Source organism: Homo sapiens, chromosome 15 (assembly GCF_000001405.40).
Source record: "Homo sapiens chromosome 15, GRCh38.p14 Primary Assembly".
Taxonomy (NCBI): domain Eukaryota; kingdom Metazoa; phylum Chordata; class Mammalia; order Primates; family Hominidae; genus Homo; species Homo sapiens.
In genome coordinates, this window is record NC_000015.10 from 86265786 (window position 1) to 86290458 (window position 24673).

General features: G+C 38.8%; 1 protein-coding gene across 11 annotated transcripts in view; it reads left to right on the forward strand.

The window, feature by feature from the left end:
- Window positions 1-24673, forward strand: part of AGBL1 (AGBL carboxypeptidase 1) — a 951857-nt gene that overhangs the window by 186166 nt on the left and 741018 nt on the right. For 6 of the 11 annotated variants that reach the window (XM_011521227.4, NM_152336.4, XM_017021918.3 and 3 more), the window contains exons 12-16: window positions 589-672; window positions 1205-1291; window positions 4134-4282; window positions 5834-5921; window positions 13854-13998. In XM_011521227.4, the coding sequence (XP_011519529.1) occupies window positions 589-672; window positions 1205-1291; window positions 4134-4282; window positions 5834-5921; window positions 13854-13998 (553 nt within the window). Of the gene's footprint in view, window positions 1-588; window positions 673-1204; window positions 1292-4133; window positions 4283-5833; window positions 5922-13853; window positions 13999-24673 lie in introns of those variants that run through there. The other 5 variants (XR_007064423.1, XR_931751.4, XM_017021921.3 and 2 more) reach the window with 3 other exon arrangements.

Below are 24673 nucleotides of genomic sequence, written 5' to 3' on the forward strand. Positions count from 1 at the left end.
CACCTCCCTTATGAACTGGATTGGAAATTCAGGAAGGTAATCTGAAAGACCTTCTAAGCTTTCTTTCTCTCTCTTAGTTAAATATCCCAGATTTTGGTGTTTCTTAGAAGATTGACCTTAGCCTACCGGAGCAGACAGAGCCCAAGGAATATAAATTGCACAAGGGTACACAGGCTTATTGGATCCTCCCAAACCTTGAAGATGCTAGCAGCTAATAGTCCTAATGTCTTCCTCAAAACTTTCTCAGTGCAAACTACCCTCTTATTCCCACAGCTAGAAAAGTTCCAAAGTCCCCCAACGCAAGTGCTTTTGATAAAATTCTTCAAGCCAAGAATTCTCTAACTGAAATCTAACATCACTACTTCCTACATTCCTACTTCTTATGCAGTTTTATTTTTTGATAGAGGCAGAGAAAGAAGAAGGGCAGGGCTATTTGTATGCTCTGAGCTCAAAGTTGAGGTGTTATTAAACTTCTCTGTGCTTTCATATTTTTCTGGTGACCCCCAAAGTTCTTCCCAGGTGATCACAGGATGAGTGAGCTAGGGAGAGAAGGCCGACCCTTAAAATGTTTTCAATTTTCTTTTTCAGGATCAGGATATTTGAGGATATTCGGAGGCTCATCCAGCCAAGTGATGTTATAAATAAAGTTGTCTTCAGTTTAGATGAGCCTTGGTAGGTAGTCTCGTGCATCTGAGGAAGGTGGGGCATGGAGAATTCTCTTAATGGCATGAGAATAGACATGTTTCCTGTTAATAATCCACTCCTCCTCCTAAAACAGCATGATGAAAATCCAGGTTAAAGATCTATAAGAGAAAGCTTAGCTTTAAGAATCATCGGCCAGGCGCAGTGGCTCACGCCTGTAATCCCAGCACTTTGGGAGCCCGAGGCAGGTGGATCGTGAGTTCAGGAGATGGAGACCATTCTGGCTAACATGGTGAAACTCTGTCTCTACTAAAAATACAAAAAATTAACTGGGTATGGTGGCGGGTGCCTGTAGTCCCGCTACTCGGGAGGCTGAGGCAGGAGAAGCGCTTGAACCTGGGAGGCGGAGGTTGCAGTGAGCTGACATCCCGCCCTGCACTCCAGCCTGGGCAACAGAGTGAGATTCTGTCTCAAAAAAATAATAATGAAAAAAAGAATCATCACACTGTTTTCAAAGAGTAGTGATAACACATATGTTCACATGTTCCTTATTTCATTGTAGGCCTTTGCAAGACAATGCTTCCAATTGTTTACGGTTCTTCTCCAAATTTGAGTCAGGAAATCTTCGCAAAGCCATCCAAGTGCGTGAGTAAGTAAGGAAAACCACAGTGGGTGTCTCCTGTCAGTTCGTAAGAGCAAGCTGTGACTATCTCTTCCCCATGCTCTGTTCAGTGACCTTGCATTGGTGGCTTGAAATCAGCCATGGTGGGAATATTTATATCATAAAAATTGGCAAACAGTACGAGTGAAGGTTTTTCCTTTCAGAGAGTCATTTGTTAAACATTTACCAGTACACCACTAAGTGTACTGATATCATAGCTACACTGATATCATAGCTAAGTGAGCCATTCAGTAGAAGTGAACTGTTATTAATGTGTCTTGTGTTTCAAATAATGGGTCCATATTTCGGTGTGAGAGCACTTTGACTGGGATGTTTATACTTTGATGCCAAGGCTGATTCTGTTGAAGGGAAGGGTACATGGGCTTGCTATTCCTGCACTTCTCTATGCCTGTTGCTCTCATTCCTGTGTACTTAGGTGGCAAAAATCATGAGCTTCCCAGAGAAAGGTGAACCATCCTGCATTCAAGGGAAGATGCAGTACCATGCCTCTCTAGCAGAACCTACAGATGAGCTCTCAGTAGAAAAGGATATCCTAGCCAAGGAAAGCCTAGGGCTGTACAAACTAAAAGAAAGGAAATAAAACACAAATGAATTTTACTTCTTTTTCAGTGTCAGAAGAGACCGCGGTTCTCACTATGTTAAAATTCTTTCTATTATAGCAGTGTGGATATATTTCCCATATACCAAAAGGCAAGATACATGATTCATCTTCTATAGGTGAACTTCTGAAAAAACAGTCCAGAACAGATAATGGTGTGGTGGCCATAGACAGACATCAGAATCAGAGTGCCAGGGTAACTTCATCACCTTCCAACCAGGAGACTGAGCAAGTTTCCTAACTCACTTCATGCCTTTATTTCCTCACTCACAAAATGAGAACAATAATCGCACCTACTACTTTGGGATTTCATGAGAGCTAAGTAATACACTTAAGTCTCTTAGAGTAGTACCTGGCGCATGGTCAGCACTTAGTCAACATCCGTTCTTACTCAGGGATGCATATTCGCCATTGTTGGAGCTCAGAATTCAGTATAGCTGAGACCTCCCTCATATCCACCTGATGATTCATTTTTGAAGTTCTTCCTCTTTGGGGGAGGTGAAGGGTGATTTTTTTTTTTGTACATAAAATATTTCAAGGAAGCCCAACAAATAAAACAGAGACCAGTTTAATCAGGCTGAAGACGGGAAAGACAGTCATGTCAAGACTCTTTCTCAGCCCTCTTTGTGTTGTTGGCTTAGTTTCCACTTCTTCCTGTGGCTCCTGCTTTTACTATTTCTTCTCTCCAGATATCATGTTCAAAGGATCCAGGAAAGGAGACCTGATTATGAGTCTCCTGGTGGAACAGTTATCAGATCAGGATGCGGCTAAGCTGCTGGCCCGGCTCAGGTCTTTTTCTCTATACATTTCCCTTGGACCAGAGTCTAAAATCCTAAATTCATCAGTTATGGTCAGGGTAATAGAGTCAAATAGCAGAAACAAACCTACTTATGGGTAAGGAATTTTTTATGATTACTTTTTGGAGAGAGCACTGTGGGAATAGCAGACAATTTGAGGGTCATAGACTTTCCAGAATTGTTCTTGTGAGTGCCACTCCATGGGGTTATGTGTCATGTGTTGTGTGGTGAGCCCAGTGGTTAGAGTGTGGTGCCCACAGAGACAGTGTGAGGACTAGACTCCATCAGATAGCTCTACTCTGCTCTCATCTGTCTTATACCAAGCTCAGCGTTTCATAAATCTCACACAATGCCATTTACCAGGGGTCCAGTGTGGGAGAGTATGAATGGATTGGGGCAAAAACATTTTCCTTTTCATAAGAGCAATGCAAAGAGAATACCAAGAGGATGGAGCAACATTTTTAAAAATGAAATATCCTGATAATGTTTAAGTCAAAACTGCATTGCTAGTTCTGTTGCTAGAGATCAGAAAAATAATAATCTTTGGAGATATATAGTGATGGGGAGAGGATCCCTGAGGGCCTCCTGGGGTGCTGGAAATGTCCTATATCTGGGTAGTAGTCACACAAGTGGTTTCAGATGTAGATAAATTCATGGAGCTGTATATTTAAGATGTGTGTATTTTATAGCATGGGAGTTATATCACAATGAAAATGAAACAACCCCTGCATTGCTAGCCTAATTCATGTTTGTTGTTTTGCTGGGGGATGTATATTTACTAGGTTATTTGATTTTTATAAACAGCACCTCAAGTTTAGACACTTCCATTTTCCGTATGTGGAAATTGAGGCTCAAAAGTAACGTTGATCTCAAATAGCAATGGCATATCCAAACCAGATGTGATTGAATTTTCTCTGGTATATAGCACACTTGCATTTTTTCTAGCTAGATAAAAACTTCATTATAGTTTAATAAAAAGGTGTGCTAATATTTCAAAATAGTAAAAAGACTAGAATTGGAATGTTCTTAACCCAAAAAGTGTTAAATGCTTAGGTGATAGACATTTCAATTACCCTGATTTGATCATTACACATTGTATTATTGTATCAAAATATCACATGTACCCCATAAATAAATACAACTATTGTGTATCCATAATAGTTTAAAAAAATTTAAAAATATGCGCTATTGTGTAATTGACTCTTGTAATACTAGGAAGCCCCCTCACCTCCATGAATTTCCAAAATCTGTACCCAATATTGTGGTATCAGGATGATAAGTATAACTTACCAGCTGGCTGAGATCCTGGGTCTTAGATCTGTAACCCAGAAACTGAAACGTGTAGATTCTTAGTGTCTGAAGTTTACCTGAAAGACTTTCCAGATAACCCTCCAGTCTTGCTTCTGATCTGCAGGTTCGAGTATGACTTGCTGGTCAACGCAGATGTGAATAGCACCCAGCACCAGCAGTGGTTCTATTTCAAAGTGAGCGGTATGCAGGCGGCCATCCCTTACCACTTCAACATCATCAACTGTGAGAAGCCCAACAGCCAGTTTAATTATGGTATGAACGCTTGGGGAGCAGGGGCTTTCTGGAACATGCCAGGAATGACATTTCTTGACTGTTTGGATTCAAAGAGCCTTTGCTTGGGTTCAGAGGGTTTGAAGTTGGGCAGAGTTTTGGGTTGCCAGGTGCAGCAAGGCAGGCAGTGGCCCTCAGTGGCACACTGCTACTTTAGAGGGGAGGCTGGGCACCCTCACTCTGCCACACATTGACATCCACTGCTTCTGGATTCCCTCGCTCTACCTTGAACTTTTTGAGGTTGGTGAGCGTTCTCATTTATTCCTTCTCTCCATCTCCTAAGTCCCATAGGAGCAAATGCTTTGACCTGCTTTTTTTCCTGCAAGGTAGAGGAACAACAAAATCCAATTGGACAACACTGATTTACATTCTTAGAAAGCTCTTGAAGAAGTTTAAATTCTCCTGAATACCCGTGGCCATTTTGGAGGAGATATTCAAGAGAGAAAGGCTGACGAGCAGGCTGTATTTATTTCAAATGTTTTGAGGAATGGAAATTCTGCATACAACTGCTGCATCATATACTAACTTGCTGGGTGGCTTTGAATGAGGAAGAAGTATTCCCAGGTGTCTAGGTCCAAGTGCAGGGTACTGTCTCTATTTTGTAGTGACTAAACAGATTCCTGTGGGTATGAGAAGAGAAAATATGAACCTTGACATTTATATTCACTTTGTATGGCTATTGTAACAAATTGTCACAAACTTGGTGGTTGAAAACAAGACAAATCTGTTCTCTTACAGTTCTGGGGTTCAGAAGTCCAACATCAGTTTCTCTAGGCTGAAGCCAAGGTGTTGGGAGAACCATGTTTCCTCTGAGGATTCCAGGGGAAACTCCATTTCCTTTCCTTTCCCAGCTTCTAGAGTAGCATTCTCTGCATTCCTTGGCTGATGGCCCCTTCTTGCATCCTCAAAGCTAGTAGTGTTGCATCTTGAAATCTCTCTCTGCTTCAGTCACGTTGCATTTTTTTTTTTTTTTTTTTTTTGGCGAGACAGAGTCTCGCTCTGTCACCTAGGCTGGAGTGCAGTGGTGTGATCTCCGCTCACTGCAACCTCCGCCTCCCGGGTTCAAGCGATTCTCCTGCCTCAGCCTCCCAAGTAGCTGGGACTACAGGCATGTGCCACCATGCCCGGCTAATTTTTTAGTAGCCGTGTTGTGTTTTTAGTAGAGATGGAGTTTCACCATGTTAGTCAGGATGGTCTTGATCTCCTGACCTTGTGATCTGCTGGCCTCAGCCTCCCAAAGTGCTGGTATTACAGGCATGAGCCACCATGCCTGGCCACGTTGCATCTCTTCTATAGTCAAACCTCCCTCTACCTCCCTTTCACAAGGATATTTATGATTGCATTTAGGGCTCACCAGGATAATCACCCCATCTCAAGATCCTTAACTTAATCATATCTGCAAATCTCTTTGGCGATATATAGTTAACAGTCACAGTTTCCAGGGATTAAGACCTATGTGTATGTGGGGGTCATTATTTGGCCCAGAACAACTCTCTTTCCCTCATGGATTAATTCCTTTCTGATTTTGTGTAGGGATGCAGCCCACCCTATATTCTGTGAAGGAGGCTCTTCTTGGCAAACCCACCTGGATAAGGACAGGCCATGAAATATGTTATTACAAGTAAGTTAGAGCGCTGTTAGCTTCCTTTTCTCTGTCCTGTAATTTTCTCTCAATTTCCCACTTTTCCATATTGATCTTATAAACATCAGCAATCTGTGCTTGTCTGCTAAACTTTTTGTCACTCTGTCCTAATGGCCAGTGTCCGGCCCTTCAGAGATATAAGCATATTCACTGGCACGCACAGTAGACCTCGAGAAATACCTTTTGATTGGCTGAAAGAGTTTATCTTCATTTAAACACATTAAAACTTTTAGATCTTGTTGTCAGATATTAGAAGTCATAGAGATTCTACCTGTGATTAGTGTGTCAAGCCTTAGTTCTTTACTTATTTCCGCTGAACCCAGAGAGTGAAATGTCTGAGATGTTCTATCCTGTTTCTATCCACCCCGTGGTTTAGTTTTCCAAAGTACAGGAGGGTGAATATGTGACAATTACACATAAGTAACTCCTCCCCATAGCAAGGTAATTTTGTGGAAAAAAATAAAAGAGGGAGGAGTTTCAAAATTCATCTTCAATCCTTGATCAGTCGCCAGTTTCATCAGTTTATCCTGCAAAGTTATAATGAACTTTAAATTGTCCATATATTTTGATGAAAGAAATGCATTCCAGCCATCTAGATTGCTTATATGTACATTTTCTTCAGATGAAAAATAAAATTCAAATTTATAAGAAAATAAGGATAGGGATTGCTATGAGAGGTAGAATATATATAATTAATTATTAGTTCAGTGCTAGTTTCTTTTAAAAACTGAGAGACTAGTACTTACTTTCTTAAATAAAGTAAGTTTCATCTCTTTCTGAAATTACTAGCGGCCTCTAAAAAAGTATGATCAGACATTCTAGAGTTTGGGATAGTTGTCACTGTGGAAAAGAAACAGAGTATATACCCTTATGCCTCTTGGCTTTTGAGACTTTGAAGATAGGAGTATTGATAGATGGGAAAGGTCAAGAATCTTGTTGCTGTATCAGATACAAAGGCAAAAATCACCATGGAGATAATGACAGTCTATAAGACACAGAGCCAGGCTGACTAGCCTGTAATAAAAGAGTTGGAGGTATTCAATCCCTGATCTATTAGGATATGAATCTAAAGAGGATTTTTTTATATCCTTTAGAAAAATTGCACAATATTATGACTTTGTTGGTTTTCCATTCACCTAAATGGCAACTACTCTCTGGCTCACCTATCTTAAGACTCTTAGGGCCTTTCCTACGGTTCAGAGAGATTTAGATTAAAAATCACCTCAAGGTGATAGTCTGTAACTGCAGGAAAAAAAAATGAAAACCTACTTTTGGACCTTGGTGTGTCAAGAATGACTTTTAGTTTTCTCTGAAAATAGTTATTCTCAGTAAATCTGAAAGACCCAGCTTAGAGCTGGCTTGGACCTGAAAGTTAGTAACAGATTGGACAAACATAACATTTCCTAATGGGATATATAAATTCCAGTTGAGGATGCTCCTCTTGGAATTGGGGAGTAAGAAGGCTAAGGGGACCACGTATTTCCCACAAGAGGGAAGAAGCCACACTTTCAAAAGCACAGCCTTGACCTAAGGAGAACCAATGCTGATAGCTTTTAGAGCTATTAGCAAGACAATTACTATGTGATTAAAGAGCAACAGAGGGATAAGAAAAAAACCATGAATGTATAATATAATTCATTTTTCATATTCCAGCCATGAATACAACAGAGATGAATGGATAAGATTGCTACATTGTAATGTAGTTTGTTTTATAATTATTCACCACGTTGTGTTAACATATTCCCAATACTGTGATGTAACAACAGGGTAGATATGTGTAATCTCTATTCACCCACAAATTAGAACGCCTCTCTCAATTGTAAAATGATGCCTTAGATTATGCAATATCTCTCTCCCTATTTACCTATCCTGATTTTTGAGTTGATTTGCTTTAGAAGAGTTCTTTGCTTCTCTCCTGCCTTTATTATCTCTGGTATATTAATTTGGGAGAACTTTACTTCCCTATTTCCTTGTCTCCAATATATCTTTAGATACTCTGCTCTATTTCTATTATGCTGTTAAAGTCCCAGATTTGGTGCCATGTTTTAAGAGGATGCCAGGGTGCTCACTGTGGGGACAACTGTGAGCCGTGGTACCTGAGTATGTTTATAGAAGGGTGAAAGGAAAAAGGAGACTCAGAAGAAATGGGATTTGCATTTGCATTTTCTTTCAGAAGTTGAAGTTGACAGCAATGATGAGCAGTTAAGGACATGGGCTGACTACTCTGTAGGGCCAATCGTCATCAAATAGTCTCCAAACTATTTTGACAATGTGCCACTAATCAATAAGATATATTTGTATGTGTTCTTACCAGATTAGTTTATACATTTAAAAAAGTGTATATGCATTACTATACTAATATATTATGCACCTAAGAAAGCATGTAAAAAATGAAGAGTTTTAAATTAGGAAAAAAAGATGAAATAAATAATAGTTTATATCTACCTAATTGTTACATCTTTATGCTATTTATAGCTTAGGGCACACTAGAATTTTGTTGTGGAGTTTACCATTAGATGTAGTTATAAATAGTCTTTTTGGTAATTTTGAGAAATTTTGATTAACTTTCTAGATCTGATTAGATTATTTTAACAAAAATGAGAATTACCGAGAAAGACCTAATATTAAGGGTAGGGGTAGGCTATGTCCATTCTGCCATTTTATGGTCATTTTGATTGCAATTTAATTTTATCATCAATAGATGGCTTCTAAGAAGATTTTTCTTTAAAAAGTAATTGTCTAGTTTGTGAGGTTTAGTTTAATTTAGGTAATACAATCTGTAAATGAAAGTAAGCTTCTGTAAACTTAAATACCTTGCCGGAAGCTAAAAGCAAAAGAAAAAGGAGGGGAGCTAGCTGTTCCCACTTCTCCCTTTGGAGACCTCTCCCATGCAACAATCGATGCTTAACTAACATATAAAAACCGTAGATGCAGAATATAATGTGTTTTTCATACTCCAGCCCTGGAATACGACAGTGATGAGTGGATAAGATTGCTGTACCATCATCTAGTTTGTTTTATAATTACCCACCACATTAGGCTGACATCGAGACAGCCATGCCAATCCCCATATTAAATAGTAGACAACTTAATTTCTTTCTTACTATCTAGATAATAATCATTTTAAGGAGAAATTCTAATATTTTCTGCCTGTGGTCAGTTGATCACCCTGCCCCTCCCCTGGAGCACCTCCCACCCCTTCTATTCCACCTCCTGCTCTTCCCCACCTTGATGACCACTAGGCTGGAAAATAAAAAATGCCCCTCGAGAGGGAGGAACAGAAATGGGCAGATTCATTTTTCCCTGCCTCTCGTAAAAGTAAGCAAGGGCCCTTTTAGTTTCTTTTTTTATTTAGTTCCCTGTGGTCTGCTTCTTCCTCTGATGTGCACAGCCACACACCTTTTTGAATTCTCTCCCAGCTCTGGTCTAAAGTAATTTTGGTGCTGAAGGGCAGAGGGAGGGAAGCTGTGCGCTTAGAGTGGCCATGTAATACACAACGGCTGATCTCTTCTGACATTTATCTCCGCTCGTGAGAGGAGATGGAACAGCTCACTCATGAAGATGAATGTCATACAAGAGCTCTGCCATCATGCATCCTTCCATGGGATCTCAAGAGAGAGATCTGGTATTATATAGAATATTAGAAATGCTGCAGACACAGGGAAGTCTGGCAACTTCACTGCTCTGCCTTATTAGATCCTGTTAAATGAAATGATACACCCTTGTTAAACAGAGCCATTGTCATTATAAGATTATCTAATCCATTCTCCATCATGGCATTTGCTTATTTTATGCACCCTGCTGAAAAGAAACAATGACTTTCCAGCATATTTTTAAGTACAAATGGAAATAACCTGAGTTCGTAACTATGCCTTTGTGTACTTGCTCCTTGCTTCATTGAAGTCTTTATGATTATAAAAGTGCAGATCCTTCCAAAGATAAATGGTTCAGGCAATGGAAAGGCAAACAAAAAGCCTTTTAGCTGTGAAGTTGCTGGATGTACCCAGCCCAGGTCATTTTTGACCCCAGATGACCAATAGGATCCAGCTAATCTTCAAGATCACTCCTGATTTTCACCAGGCTGCTTCTCCATCTAGATGAACAGATTGAGGAGAGGAAGTTCTTTGACTCAAACTTCCACCACTCATTAATGGCGTGACCTTGGGCAAATTATACCAACTTCTTTCAGATTCTTCATCTTAAAATGGGATAATAATGGTATCTACCTAATAGAAGTGTTCTGAAGATAAAATAACATGAGATAAAACACGTGTAAAGGTTAGAACAGTGTCTAGTGCATAGTAGGTGTTCAATGAATGCTAGCAATTATTTTTAATAATTAGTAAAAACATCTTAGTGGCATCAAATACCAATGATATAAAAGTCATAGTATATGGATCATTTTATTAGCTCTCATCTTGATTATTTTACATTTTTTTCTATTATTTTAGACTGTAAGTTCATAGGCAGCTCTGATTTATGAAGATCAAAACTTCAGATTCTTACTTGCTACCTTGGGCATAAGACATCTTGTCCTTTTTAACCCATTCCTAAGAAGCAGATGATATAATAAAAAAATTTTAGTTTCTGAGCTAAGCCTACAACTGGGGTTGAATCCTGTTTACTATACTTGTTGTGTGGAATTGCTCTAGACACTTAACCTCTGTGAGCCTTAATTCCCATGTGTAGAATGTGTGTAATAATACTCACCTTGAAAGGATGTCATTAGAATTGGAGATAATACATTGAACAACCTAATTATTACTCCTGGAGTCTTGGGTCCGTGTATTATACAAACTTTAACTGAACAGCTGCTATGTCCAGGCAAGGTGGGAAGCATAAAGATAAACAGATGAATAAGCATGGTCCTTGCCATAAAGTATTGGCCATGAGAATAGGAGTGATAAGGGGGCTATCAGGGCAGGCTTCCTGAAAGAGGAAACACTTGAGTTAAATCTTGAGGAGTGAAGAAGACTTAGCTAAATAAGGAAGATGGAAAGGGCTTTCCATACAAAGCAAGAACATGGGAACAATTTAACATAGGAAGGATGAACATTGCTTCTTGCAAACATCACTCGATATGTCCACATCATAACTGGGAAACGAAAAGAACTTGTTGATGGGATCTCAGTTTATCATGGATGAACTGAACTGTAGCAAGCCAGGTGTTTCACTTTAGAGATTTATCAAACATTTGGCTTTGAAGGTCCTGGGAAAGTTTAAAGGCCTCTGCAGAGGAAGGTGTGCTGGAAGCAGAGTCATCTCCTGGACAACTCCTGCTACAAGGTGGCTGCCAGGAGAGTCCAGTGGGGATGCCTGACATTTGCTTTAGGTTCAGCCAGAGTTTAGACCCCAGACAAGGGTTGTAACTGAATTTCTTTTAGCTGAAAGTCATTCTAAATAAGGTGTTTATAATAAGATTTTTTTTTTTTTTTTGGAATTCCAGCAGTGTGCAACCATCCTGGAGAAGGCTGACTTGTTGGTGGGGAGCCTTTAGTCTTGCTCGGGAGAATCTAATATCACCAAGCTATGGGGGGTAGCATGTTAGGAGAGAGAGAGAGAGTGTGTGTGTGTGCATGTGTGTGTGTGTATGTGTGTGTGTGTGTGTGTGTATGTTGGTGGTGTGAGAAGACAGATTTGACATAGTCAGAACTACCATTTGAATTCCTTACACTTCCCTTAAATCTTGAGCCCATGGAAGCTCAAGAGCTAAGGATTAGCCCATTTTATTTCTCTTTCCATTTCACTGCAGCTGTTTTTTCCTTGGAGTCCAGGTTTTGCCTGAATGAGGGAAAGAACATAGAGATAAATACATGGATTTTATTTTTTCTCTCTCTTTCTTGCTGTCTCCTGTGGTTGAATGTGGTGAGGTTGAGTTTGCATAGGCTAAATGTGCTTGTGATGTGACTTTAGTGTACTAATAGTGCAGTGGGGAACCTAAAAAGAAGCAAGGCCCATGCCAAATAAGACCAACCCTACTGGCCCTTCGGGACACCTATTATTTTTGAGTCAAGATACAGGCTCTGTCTCCACCATTTGTAGGTGAAGAACTGGGGACAGTGAGGCACAAGGTGCGTGTTTCCATCTGCCTTTACATTCATGAATACATGCACATCTGTGTGTGCACTCACACATATGTGCTTACAAGTGAAGCACTCTTCCACGCTTTGATTGGTTATCCCTGGATCATTTTATTTCAACTGCTGTTTCCCGTAAAGAGGAGTAATTGACTAGCATTTGTTGTTCAGCAAGGTGTAAACTGAGTGTATGTTTGCACGGAGGCTTTACAAGGGAAATCAGAAAGCAAATAAGAGGTAGAGCATATGTAACTTGCATGCTTTCCGAGCTACCATCTGCTTCTTTACGTACTTTCTAATAACCAGAGTCATAGCTTTTGGAGAAGCTTCAGAACTTTGGGGCAATCTGGCAAAGTAGACCTAATTAGCCATTGCGATCCATATCACACCATGTGGGAAGACACTATTTTAAAATTTCTATTTCTGTGGGCATAAAGGAAACGGATTCTATTAATACAATGCCAAAAACCTGGGTGTGACAGCCACTGGGGGCTTATGTTGTTACAGGGTACCCTCCTTTCCCTAGCATGACCAAGGCTCCAGATTGCCATGTTGGCAGAAGCTGAGGGAAGGAAGATAAAGGTATCAGGCCATAGTCAGTGGGCTACCAGCTTCCCTTAGTCCCATTCCGAGGTGTATAAATATTGAAAAGCCACAAAACCATGAGAAATAAAAAAACAGATTTTCTATCTCTTTCTTCCATGCTTACTTTTTGCTTAGGTAGGGAGTGGCATGAAAGTAGCAAAAAGGTAGAAAAGAATAACCCATGTTTGTTTTATTTTTCAAGAACACACAAGAATAATTACCTACTATTTCTTCCCTTCCCCTTCCCTTTCCCCCAGTAAAACCAAAAGCACAATGGACTAGTAAGCCAACGTTCTAAATGTTCAAAGGTGGAATTACATCTTGGTGTCCGGGTGTATTTTGCATTATAATGCAGCCTTGATGATAACATTTCTCAGGAAAGCCTGTGCAGCTGTCTCAGCATCAGTTGGCAGCGTGTGGGGAAAATATTGCTCGGAATGGACTTCTGGGAGCAATTTTCTTTGATACTGTTCTCTGAAGTATCAAAATTGGTTCTTCATCTTTGACAAAGGAAAATGTGCACTCTCAAGCCTTACGAAGCTGAACCACATTTGAGGTGACAAATATATTCCTTTGGGAAGAAAGTATTGTACAGTGGAAAGAACAAAGCCTTTGCAGCCAGAGAGATCTGGGTCTCAGTCTTGTATCTACCATTTAGCTTTGAGCCCTTTGGCAAATTAACTTTTCTAAGCTTTTGTTTCATCATCCACATGATGGGTTGCTGCAATAATAACATAAGATGACATATGTTAAATGTTGAATTGGAACTCCATATATCATGTGATTGCTAATAAATCTACTTGGCAGGTGGAGCGGAAAGGAAGGAGTTGAATCCTATGTGGTCTGGGGAGAGATAGGGATTGGGGGAACCCAAATTTGGGTGATAAAGTTTATGTCTCCAATTGAAACCCAAGAAAAACAGAACTGTTCAGATTTTCCTCGATGTTCTAGCTCAGTGACTATATAGCCCTCATTTTCAGACAGCAAGGAAAGGTCGGTAGCATATACGGCACAATTGGGAGGCAGATGGGCCAGGCTACATGTTGCTGAACTGACTCATGAACTGGCAGTAAGTTTACTTGTACATTTCCCTTTTCTCAGTTTCACCCACAGAAATGTTTCAAGTGAAGGCCATTGTGCCAGGACAGTATATAACGCACAAGATTTATAGCATCTAGGACCCTAAATGACCCTGCACCCCCCTCCCACCTCTCCCTTATTCTCTTCTCTTCTCCTCCTCTCTCTTTAGAAATCATTATCGCCAGAGTACAGCTGTTGCAGGCGGAGCATCTGGGAAGTGCTACTATACCCTCACCTTTGCTGTCACCTTCCCACACAGTGAGGATGTCTGCTACCTGGCCTACCACTATCCCTATACCTACACAGCCCTCATGGTAACTTCCTCTTTATAGCATCACTCCAGCAGGACTGAAGGGGCTCTCTGAGGTTTTCCTGGGAACATTTTGGAGACCCTGACATCCTGATGGGGTGCAGAGGGGAATGTAGGGGAACTACAGCCTTCCTAAAGGAGCCAGGTTTTGTTGTTACTGACTTGGTGCTTTCTAATTGTCCCATCTCCTTCCCTGGACAGAGCACAAGGCTGAGCCTTGATCAGTGACATTCCAAAGGCCCAAGTGGTCTGCAAGTTGGGGCAGGACATGGGGGCATTTCTTAAGAGACTCTGTCTTTAAAAAGTCAAGTTAAGTATGAAGTAGGTTGGAGTTGTATGGGGAGCAACACCATACAAGTAAGCTGAGATGCAAATCTGAAGAAAATTCAGTCATTCAGAGGAATGGAGAAAGCAGGAAGGTAGATCTTGGGAAACTTCTGAGTCTGTGTGCAAGTAGCCACGCCAGCATCTCCAGTGGTTCCAATGACCATGAGCTGGAGGTGGCTAGAAGGATCCAGGGTGGAAGAGAAAAGTGTAAGAATAAAACACTAGATCATTGCAACAGACAGCCACAATCTTTTTATGAGGGAGAGTAGAAGAAGTCAGTGCAGACTCACAGTTAGCATTCCTGTGTACCATAAGGCCCTGCAAAAAGTTCACAAGACAATTGTGAGAAAATGGACTGCTTAAACCATGCAGCTTTCTGTCATTTGAAAAAGCTGGCAAACTAACCCTTACTGCTACCATTTCGTGGATATCCTGAGGATAAATGAACTCCAGTATCTTCTATAAAGCACTTTCATCCTCTATGTTAATGTAAAATGTTATTAGCATATTTATAATCATATGTGTGTATATGGGTATATGTATCACTTAGCCTGAAGGATGAGCATTTTCATTTTAAGGCTGTGATAAGGACTTGGAAAAGATAATAACCAAGAACATCTTTTCCTTCAAAAGGAATGTGCAGGTATAAATGTGAATTTTTCGCATAGAGAAGGCATATCTTGAACCACTTGGCTCACTGCTTCATGAAAGTGCATCTGTCCTCTTCTCCATATGTTGTCTTGCCTAAAGAGAGATTTTTACTGTTTTCCAGATTGCAAAAAATACACAACTAGTATTATTTGTGTATCACACTTAGAGAGCTCAAGAAGTTAATCCAAGTAATGTGCGTTGCAAGCTAGGCTGTAACAAGCCACATTTGTTATAAAACATGTTTTGTTGCCTTTAGGGACACAGAACAGGCAACATTCATCTCCCTTCAACAGCTGTTTTTATGGTCTTGCCTGTGAAACACTGCACATGAAAAGTCTACTGTGGGCTGGGCACAGTGGCTCACTCCTGTAATCCCAGCACTTTGGGAGGCCAAGATGAGAGGATTGCTTGAGCCCAGAGTTCGAGACCAGCCTGGGCAGCATGGTGAAACCACCATCTCTACAAAAAATACAAAAATTAGCCAGGCCTGGTGGCATGCACCCATAGACCCAGCTACTTGGGAGGCTGAGTTGGAGGATCACTTGGGCTCAGGAGGTTGAGGCTGCAGTGAGCCAGGATCACACAACTGCATTCCATCGTGGGCAACCAAGGGAGACCCTATCTAAAAAACAAAACCAAAAGCAGAAACCAGAAAAGAAAAAAAAAGTCTGCTAGGGATGGGGATTCCTTTTAAAATACGTGTTATGTGTTTGCCTTTCCCATTGGGTAAGTGATCATGGATCTAGGACACTGTTCTTTTTGCTTGTTAGAATATCTTGGACTCTGATAAGGTTCCTGGTGGCCATTCATATAAAACATTAGAATGCAAAGGGGTTGGGTGAAGTTGTCTAATTCACCCTTAACGTTTATAGATGCAAGAACTGAGACCGGAAGTCCCACATTTAGCTAGCAGCCATGCAGGAACAGAACATCAGCCCTTGAGGTGTATTCCTGTGGTCTTTCTACTCCCCTGTAGAAAAGTGTAGAAGAAATTCAGAATTTCTGCCCTGGGGTCAGATTAGTGTCATTGCTTGCCATTACATTCACAAGCTGCTAAAACATGCAGTCGTTTTATGAGTCCATGTAGTCATCATTGTGTGATGATACAGACATCTCTAATGTTTGAATTCAAACCACCAGCCCACAGTTTTTATCTTTAATGCTGAGTGCCGTGGATGTGGTTCAGCTGAGGGATAATATCTCTTTCCAAACATGGTCTAATTCTTACCCCAAGATGCTCCAATGGATTCTTGCTAGGTGCCTACACACTGATTCAAATTGTGTACCCCTTTCAACCTGGCCTTGACTTGATGGTACCTAGTTGTTTACCTTGTGCCTCTGGGCCTGCTTACCTTCTGGGCACAGTTTCAGATAAGAATACAGGGTCTAAAATTTGCAATTGATAAATAACTCTAAGAACCACTGGGTGGGGGGTCAATGAGGAGAAGATTTCATGTTAAAGGGAAACAAAACACACAAAAAAGAGGACCCCCCTCTCTCCACCAGTCACTAAGTTTCACTGAGAGGGAAAGAGAGGCCTTGTTAATTGATGCTTATTGGCTTGTTACTGTTAACAATATTAATAACTATTACTGTTACTATTAATTACAATAAGTTATAACTACTTACGACTTTTTATTGTTACTTTTGAGCCTACTGACTGTGAATGTCTTCCTCCAGGGAAGTTTGTGGAGAGTTAATGAGAAAGAGGGATAACTTATTTCTCCTAAATGAACAAAACAGGGTTAGAAAGACAATTTGTTACTTAAAAGTGACAAATGTGTATTCTCAATTTTAGGTTTTACATTTCCAATAACTCATGGTCTTTGTCCTCTCTAGGTTTAAGACAATAATTGACTCTGTGACTTCTCTTAAAAAAAACTTCCTCCCATCATGGACAAAATGAGTACATTCTGTAATGCTAACCAGTCATTTTTGTTTTTGGACATGTCCTGAGGAGAAACGGTTTTTCTTCCAACAGATCAGTGATAAATTAAATGCGAATGATACCCCAAGGGGAGAATTAACTGTATGTTACTTGGGGGTTATGCTGAGGGGTAGAAAATACGTTTCCATGTGGAATTCATAATTTGCGAGTCTCCTATAATATGGATTACATTTAGTAATTACAGACATTTTTATAGCATAGGACTTGTATGTTGAATGTTTTTCAACGTGACTACAATTTTGAAACTCTCAAAATTTTTTTATTCTCTTATAATAAGGAAATTAGTATTTGGTTCTTTCAAATGGATATCTTCCAGATGCTTGCCAGCAAGTCTGTTGGATAATCGTTCGTTTTATAGCATTCAAATATAGCTAAAAGAAAGAAATATACTATTGTAATTCTGAAGCAAACAAAAAAGCTCTATTTTAATCAGCCGTATCAAGTTATCAGTAATTGTAATGATTGTTAAAGTGTTAGCAATAATCGTTACAGTATTAGAATTATGTTATAAATAGCCCCTAGGTAGCCAGTAGTATTGGTTGAAAATGGGGCCCCAAGAGAGTTTCTGATGAATATTTTAGGAGGTAAAAAATTGGGATCTCACTGAGAACTTATAACTGTATGAAATGACAAGAGACAACAAAAGCGGTCATTAGCAGAGTCCATGTATTGGGGGAGCTTAAGGATCTTAAAGGATAGAGCAGAATTTTTACCAGACACATATACCCACTGTGAAAGATGTGAATACTGTTATCTCCAGAGACAGGGGTGGGATGGGGAGGTGGGGGGAGGTGGAAGAAAGAGAGGGAAGAAAGAAGAAGAAAGAAAGAAAGAAAAGAAAAGGAATTAGAATGCCACATGCACAATATTTTATAAAAGACTCAGAATAAATGAAGAGTTTAAGAAGTGTCCAGTGGGAAATGTTGACTTACATGTGGCATATCGAAGATGCAATGAGCAGGCCATAAATCAGCACTGTCAAGTAATCAGTAGACAGAGATCCATCCTTGTATAGGCCAAACAAATGACAGACCCCAATAAAGGTTCTTGATGTTGAAGAGGCGAACATGGAAAGCCATTCTGAAGAAGCCAATATGTGCATGAATGGTACAGTCTTTGACAACAAGGACATCTGAATTCCAGGGTCTTGGGCACAAAGAAAGAAAGCTTTGAGGTCAGACAGGCCTAGATTTTAGTCTAGGTGTTGTGTTTCCTTGCTGTGTATCCACAGGCAAGCTATTTAACTTCTCTTAGCCTCGGTTTTCTCATCTGTAAAATTGGAAACAAAAAAGCAGTGACTACATAGGCTATTTCGAAGATTAAATAATTGCTAATTGGAAAGTTTTAGCAAAGTGTCTACATCTTGTAAGCAATACTAGATGGTAACCATTAAAGCATTTATTGTTTTTTATGATGATGTGCGATTATTTTCTCTGTTGGACTGATTGGAAGATACCCGTTCCATAATTCATACTAAAATTAAAATAAAAAAAAAAAAACAAATGGAAGACCCCTCCTCAAAAATTACAAAGGCTACTGATGGTTTTCTTGGGGTAATTGATTATGATTATTTTTTTCTTACTCTTTTTTCCAAATCATCATAATATAGCTTTGCTTATTTTTAATGGACAAGGAATATTAAACCATCCTTTCTTTATAATTGACAAATCTGTGAGTAGATATCTAGAGACTAATCATTTCTCACATTTTTAAAGTTAAGTCCCTTTAACTTGGGGAGCATAATATTGGCAGACTGGGACAGTTTGAGGAAGCTCATCAGAACATGCCTGTAGCATATTCTTGTACCTTTTATTTAGCTTAAGGGTGTTATTTGTTCTTCTCTTGTGATAAGAAGTCTTTGATTCTCTGATGAGTGTATTTAAGTGACAACTGAGATCTAGGCAGTAGACAAATAAAGTAGGCCATCTCCTTAGGAGTGGGCTTTCTTCTAAATTAGGGGAACAGAGAGTGCAGCAGTTTAGGGGGTAACAATAGAAAATGAATGGTTTTTGAGTGCATAGTGCTTCTCACTTTATCAGTAGCCATCAGCAGGTTACCCTGCTGAGGTCAAGGAAGTCTTTTATCAAAGTTTTAAGGGAGTAGTTGATAAAGGAAAGGGAGACTGAGGACTCCTGTGGAGAGACACAGGATGAGGCTGCAGGCTAAGGTTATCAGCTTGATATTGTTCACAGACAGGATTTTCTTTTAAGAAGTCAGTCTCTCTGGGGGTTTCTACAATTGCCTTAAACTCATTCACATTTTTATAAAGAAACCCACCCCTGTGGCTTCCACAGGGCTGTAATTACAGTCAGTTGGCACATGCATTCAGAGGTCCTACTTTTCTCATCAATGATCCCCACAATATCCAATTAGGCATAACTTTTCTGGACCAGAGATGGGAGATCATTTTTAGGAGAACAGGACAAAACCATTTTTGCAAAAGGAAATCCAACAGAAATTTATACTTGGTTTACTTCTAGCAATCTTTTATATGACTGAAGTCAAAATAATCCCCTAAAAGTAGAAGTGTTAAATACTTGCTGGACCTGATGGCAGGTCCAGCAGGAGGGAGATTTCATTGAGGGGTGCAGGGAGATGGATCCATGAAAAATTGCAGTTTACAGAAAATGAGTAATATGGTTTGGCTGTGTCCCCACCCAAATCTCATCTTGAATTTTAGGTCCCATAATTCTTACGTGTCGTGGGAATTAATTGAGTCACGGGGGCAGGTCTTTCCCATGCTGTTCTCATGATAGTGAATAAGTCTCATGAGATCTGATCATTTTATAAAGAGGAATTCCCTTGCACATGCCCTCTTGCCTGCCACCATGTAAGACGTGCCTTTGCTGTTCTTTCACCTTCTGCCGTGATTGCGAGGCCTCTCCAGCCACGTGGAACTGTGAGTCGATTAAACCTCTTTCCTTTACACATGACCCAGTCTCGGGTATGTCTTTATTAGCAGCATGAGAATGGACTAATACAGTGAGCTTAAGCTAAGAGAATATTAGGCATTTGTTGATTTGTAATATTATTGTGGAAAATGTAATAATAATAATAACAAATTAAAAGATAACCCATGAGAGAAGAAAACTTTCAGGCTTTGCCTCGTCCAACATTTGCTGCTTGGGAGCCTGTCCAGCCAACACTATTTTGAAGGACAGTGCTCATGTGCCCTATGATACTTTTTGACTTTTTGTCTCTCATAGCTAATACTGCTTGGTGGCTTCTATAGACCAACCTTCTGCCTAACCTGCTTCCGCATATCTGATTTATAAAATCTAGATTTTATTTTTTTTTAAAGTTTGATATCAGGCACCAAAGGGCTATGGCTTAATTGTAATATCACAGAATGACGACTACTGCTTTTTGTTTTTCATTTATTTGTTCCCCCTTCTCTCTTTTTTCTTTTTCTTTTTTTTTACAGATTGTGTTTATTATTTATTTTTAATTTATTTATAAAAGTTTCATTTTTAATTGACAAATAATACTTGCTTATATTTATAGGGTACAATGGGGTGTGTTGATAAATGAATATGTTGCAGATCGATCAAACCAGACCAATAAACGTATCTATCACCTCACATATTTATCATTTCTTTGTGGTGAGAACACTTAAAATTACTCTTTTAGGGATTTTGGAATAATTCTGTGTATTATTATAAGCTATGATTACTATACTATGCAATAGATGACCAGACGTTATTCCTCTTGTCTAATTGAAATTTTGTACCCTTTCTCCAACATCTCTCCATTCCTCCCCCTTGTTCCCGCTCCTCCAGGCCCTGGTCACCACCATTCTACTCTCTGTTTCTATGAGTTTGACTTTTTTATATTTCATGTATAAGTGAGATCAGGTGGTTATTTGTCTCTCTGCGCCCAGCATTTCACTTGGCATATGTCCTTCAGGGTCATCCATGTTGTTGCAAATGACAGAATTTCCTGCTTTTTAAGACTGAATAGTAATCCATTGTGTATGTATGTATATATATATGTGTGTGTGTATATATATGTGTGTGTGTGTTTGTGTGTGTATATATATATATAAAACTCCATCAATGCGCACTGTGGTCGTTTCCATATCTTGGCTCCTGTGAATAATGCTGCACTGAACATAGGGGTGTATACAGATATCTCTTTGATGTACTGATTTCAGTTCCTTTGGATATATACCCAGAAGTGAGATGGCTGGATTGTATGGTAATTCTATTTTTAATTTTTTGAGGAAACTTCATACTGTTTTCCAAAATAGCTGCACTAATTTACATTCCCACCAATGGTGTTCAGGGTTCCAGATCCTCACCAGCACTTGCTATCATTCATCTTTTTGATAATAACCAATCTAACAAGTGTGAAGTGGTATCTCATTGTGGTTTTATTTTGCATGTCTCTGATGATTAGAGATGTTGAACATATTTTTTTATGTATCTGTTGGCCATTTGTATGTCTTCTGTTCAGAAATGCCTATTCAGGCCATTTGCCCATTTTTATAAGGTTGTTTGTTTTCTTGTTACTGTGTAGTTGGTGTTCCTTGTATATTTTAGATATTAGCCCCTTATCTGATGTATGATTTGCAAATATTTTCTCCCAATTTGTGGGTTGTCTCTTTGCTCTGTGAATTGTTTCCTTTGCTATGCAGATGCCTTTTAGTTTGGTGGAATCCTATTGTCTACTTTTGCTTTGTTTGTCTGTGCTCTTGGGGTCATAGTTAAGAAATCGCTTCCCAGACTAATGTCATGAAGGTTTTTCCTTATGTTTTCATCTCATAGCTTTACAGTTTCAGGTTTTATGCTTAGGTCTTTAATCCATTTTGAGTTGATTCTTATATAAGGGATCAATTCTCATTCTTCCACATGTGGTTATTCAGTTTTCCCAACACCATTTATTGAAGAAACTGTCCTTTCCCCATTGCATGTTTTTGGCACCTCTGTCAAAAATCAATTGACTATAGGTGTCTGAGTTTATGTTTGGGCTTTAGTTGAGAAAGCTTCACCACTGGCAAGGACCCATGTGGTCATAATAAAATGTGAAACAAACAGATTTAATAAGAAAGAGAGAGAGAGAGTGAGCTCATAGAAATAATTCAGCAAGACAGTGTTTCCCAAAACATATTCAATAGCATTTCAGTCTCTTGAGAGGTTTAGAGAAGAAAAGTTTAATGGTCATCTAAATTTATGAAGCACTGGTGCTAGTTTTTCTTCTAACAGTTCACAATGCATATTGAAATATTAAAGAATCTGAAGAATCCTGCATCCACAGAAATATTTTCATTTTCTTTAACTCAACATTTTCTAAGCACTTTGGCTATGAATTTCCTGCCTTCTCCACCTCCTTGTTCACACCACAGCACTTACACACTACGGGATATATTTTGGGAAATGCTGCAACCAAGTTTCCCTTTCTGGCTTTAGAGCCTTGGAATCTTGATAGTAATTGTGAGGCAGGCTACATTTAGTCTAGATTTTGATAATAAAGAATACTGAGAGCAGCTGTCACTCAAATGTTTATAAAAATCTTAAAAATAATTTGTTTATGATCACAGAGACTATAATCTGAATCCAGCACTATCCATACCTTCTTAACTAAGGAGCTGGAATTTTCCTTTTCCAGGATGACTTAGAAACGTGACTGATATTCTGATGGAGACATTTCCATTCTTCTTCTGTGCCATCTCTCGTGGGATACCCAGATGTCTACTTCTTATATCAGGGCTTTAGTTAATAATTTAATATTGATTTTTGTAACCTATGAATTTTTTTCCAGTAAGCTTCTTTTAAGAGGCTATTTTCTATTCTCTAGTGGTTATTTTATTTTTGCTGTTTCGAAAACCATTTTTATTTAAGTCTAATTTCATTTAATTGTCAGAAAATGTGATTTGTATAATTTCTGCTTTTTTGGGGGAATAATCTAATGAGTTTTTAATAGCTCTATGTATGATCAATTATTGCTACAGTTCCATGAATATTTGAGAAAAAATTAAAAAATATTCTCTGGAAAGACAAAGTTTGACATGTGTCTACAAAAACAATATTGTTCAAATACTTTATATTATTATTTTTATGCCATTGATTTATTCAAGACCGAGGTGCTGTCTTAAAATCTCCCACTCCGAGAAGAATTTTTTCTCTTTCTGCTGTTTTTTGTGTTATATATTTGAATCCCATATTATTTGATTCTTAAGATTTATGAGTTTTATATGTTCATTGTGAATTGTGCCCTTTATCAAAATAAGATCTTAAAATCCCATTTAATGCACTTGATCTTGAATATGGCTTCATTGTATATTACTATTGCCATGCTTGCTTTAATTTATGTTTGCTTATGCTTTTAGTTTCAATATTTCTCCTTTAAAATGTTTGAACAGAGGCAAACAAAATAAAGAGATAATTTAAGAGCATTTCTCATACACATTTTTTTTCCTTTCTCTCCTTTAAAAGTGCCTCTTATATACAACATGCTGTGGGATTTTAAAAAGTAATCCAAATTTTTGTCATTATTAAGGCTGACTAGCCTGTTTATACTTAAACAGTTTTTACTGTTACTTGTCATTTTGGTTTCATGCTATTTTCCATGCCTCACCGCTGTTGTCTCTTTTTCTTTTTTTCTTATGCAATGTGGACCATCATTTCTTTCATTTTTTCATCCTCAGGGTTTATAACTTTACTAGTGCTTTCTTTTTACTACTTAAAGATAATATATTTGAACTTATACTTCTCCATTAACAGCTAACATTTATTGTTTCCTACATAACAGATGCTCTTCACATACATTATACAACTAAATTATAGCAACCACTGCATGAGATAGGTAATGATGTTTTTATGTGCCTTTTAAAGATGAGAAAACTGAGTCATAAAGAGGTTAAATAAAAAATTTACATCAGTTTTTTCAGAATCCACGCAACCAGAATGTAAACCCAGATTTCCTCCATTCCTTGGCTCATGGTACCTCCCTCCACGTTCAAAGCCAAAAATTGCATGCCTCTTACCTCCTTTTCCATTACATCCCATCTCCTCCTTTGGCTCTGACTTCTTATCTCCTTCTTTCACTTATAAGGACCTTTGTCATTACCCTGCACCCAACCTGATGATCCAGGATAGTCTCCTCATCTCAAATTTCCTAATCACATCTTCAAAGTTCCTTTACTGTGTAAAATAACATCTTCACAGGTTGCAGGGATTAGAATATGGGCATCTTTGGAGGGCCATTATTCTGCCTATCACACCAACATAAGCAATAAACTCAACTCTGTTTTAGAGACCCATTGTTCTAGTGATATTCTAGAGAGTTTGCATTTATTTGGCACAATACTAAGTACTGCCTTTCAGTTTTCAAGAATTAAATAATATTACTATATCGATGTAAGTTGAAAACATTAACATTTTGTTCCACCTTTTTCCTCCCTTGTACATCTCTTTTTAAGTTCATTTTAGAGCTAGGTGATGACATCAAAATTTGATAATGTGTACTGTCTCCCTAAAGAATTATTTTTTAATGTTTATATTAATATAGTAACCATATTTTTAGATAGTCATTTAGATGTAAGCTTGTTTAACTGGGTTTTATTTTAGTCTTTTTATATTGCTTTTCTGTTTGATTTGGGGGCAGCTGAAGTGTGTCTTCAAGTCCTTCTTTTCTTTCTTTTTTTTTTTTTTTTTCTATTTTTAAGACAGGGTCTCGCTCTGTCACCCAGGATGGAGTGCAGTGACTTGATCTAGGCTCACTGCAGCCTTGACCTCCCAGGCTCAAGTGATCC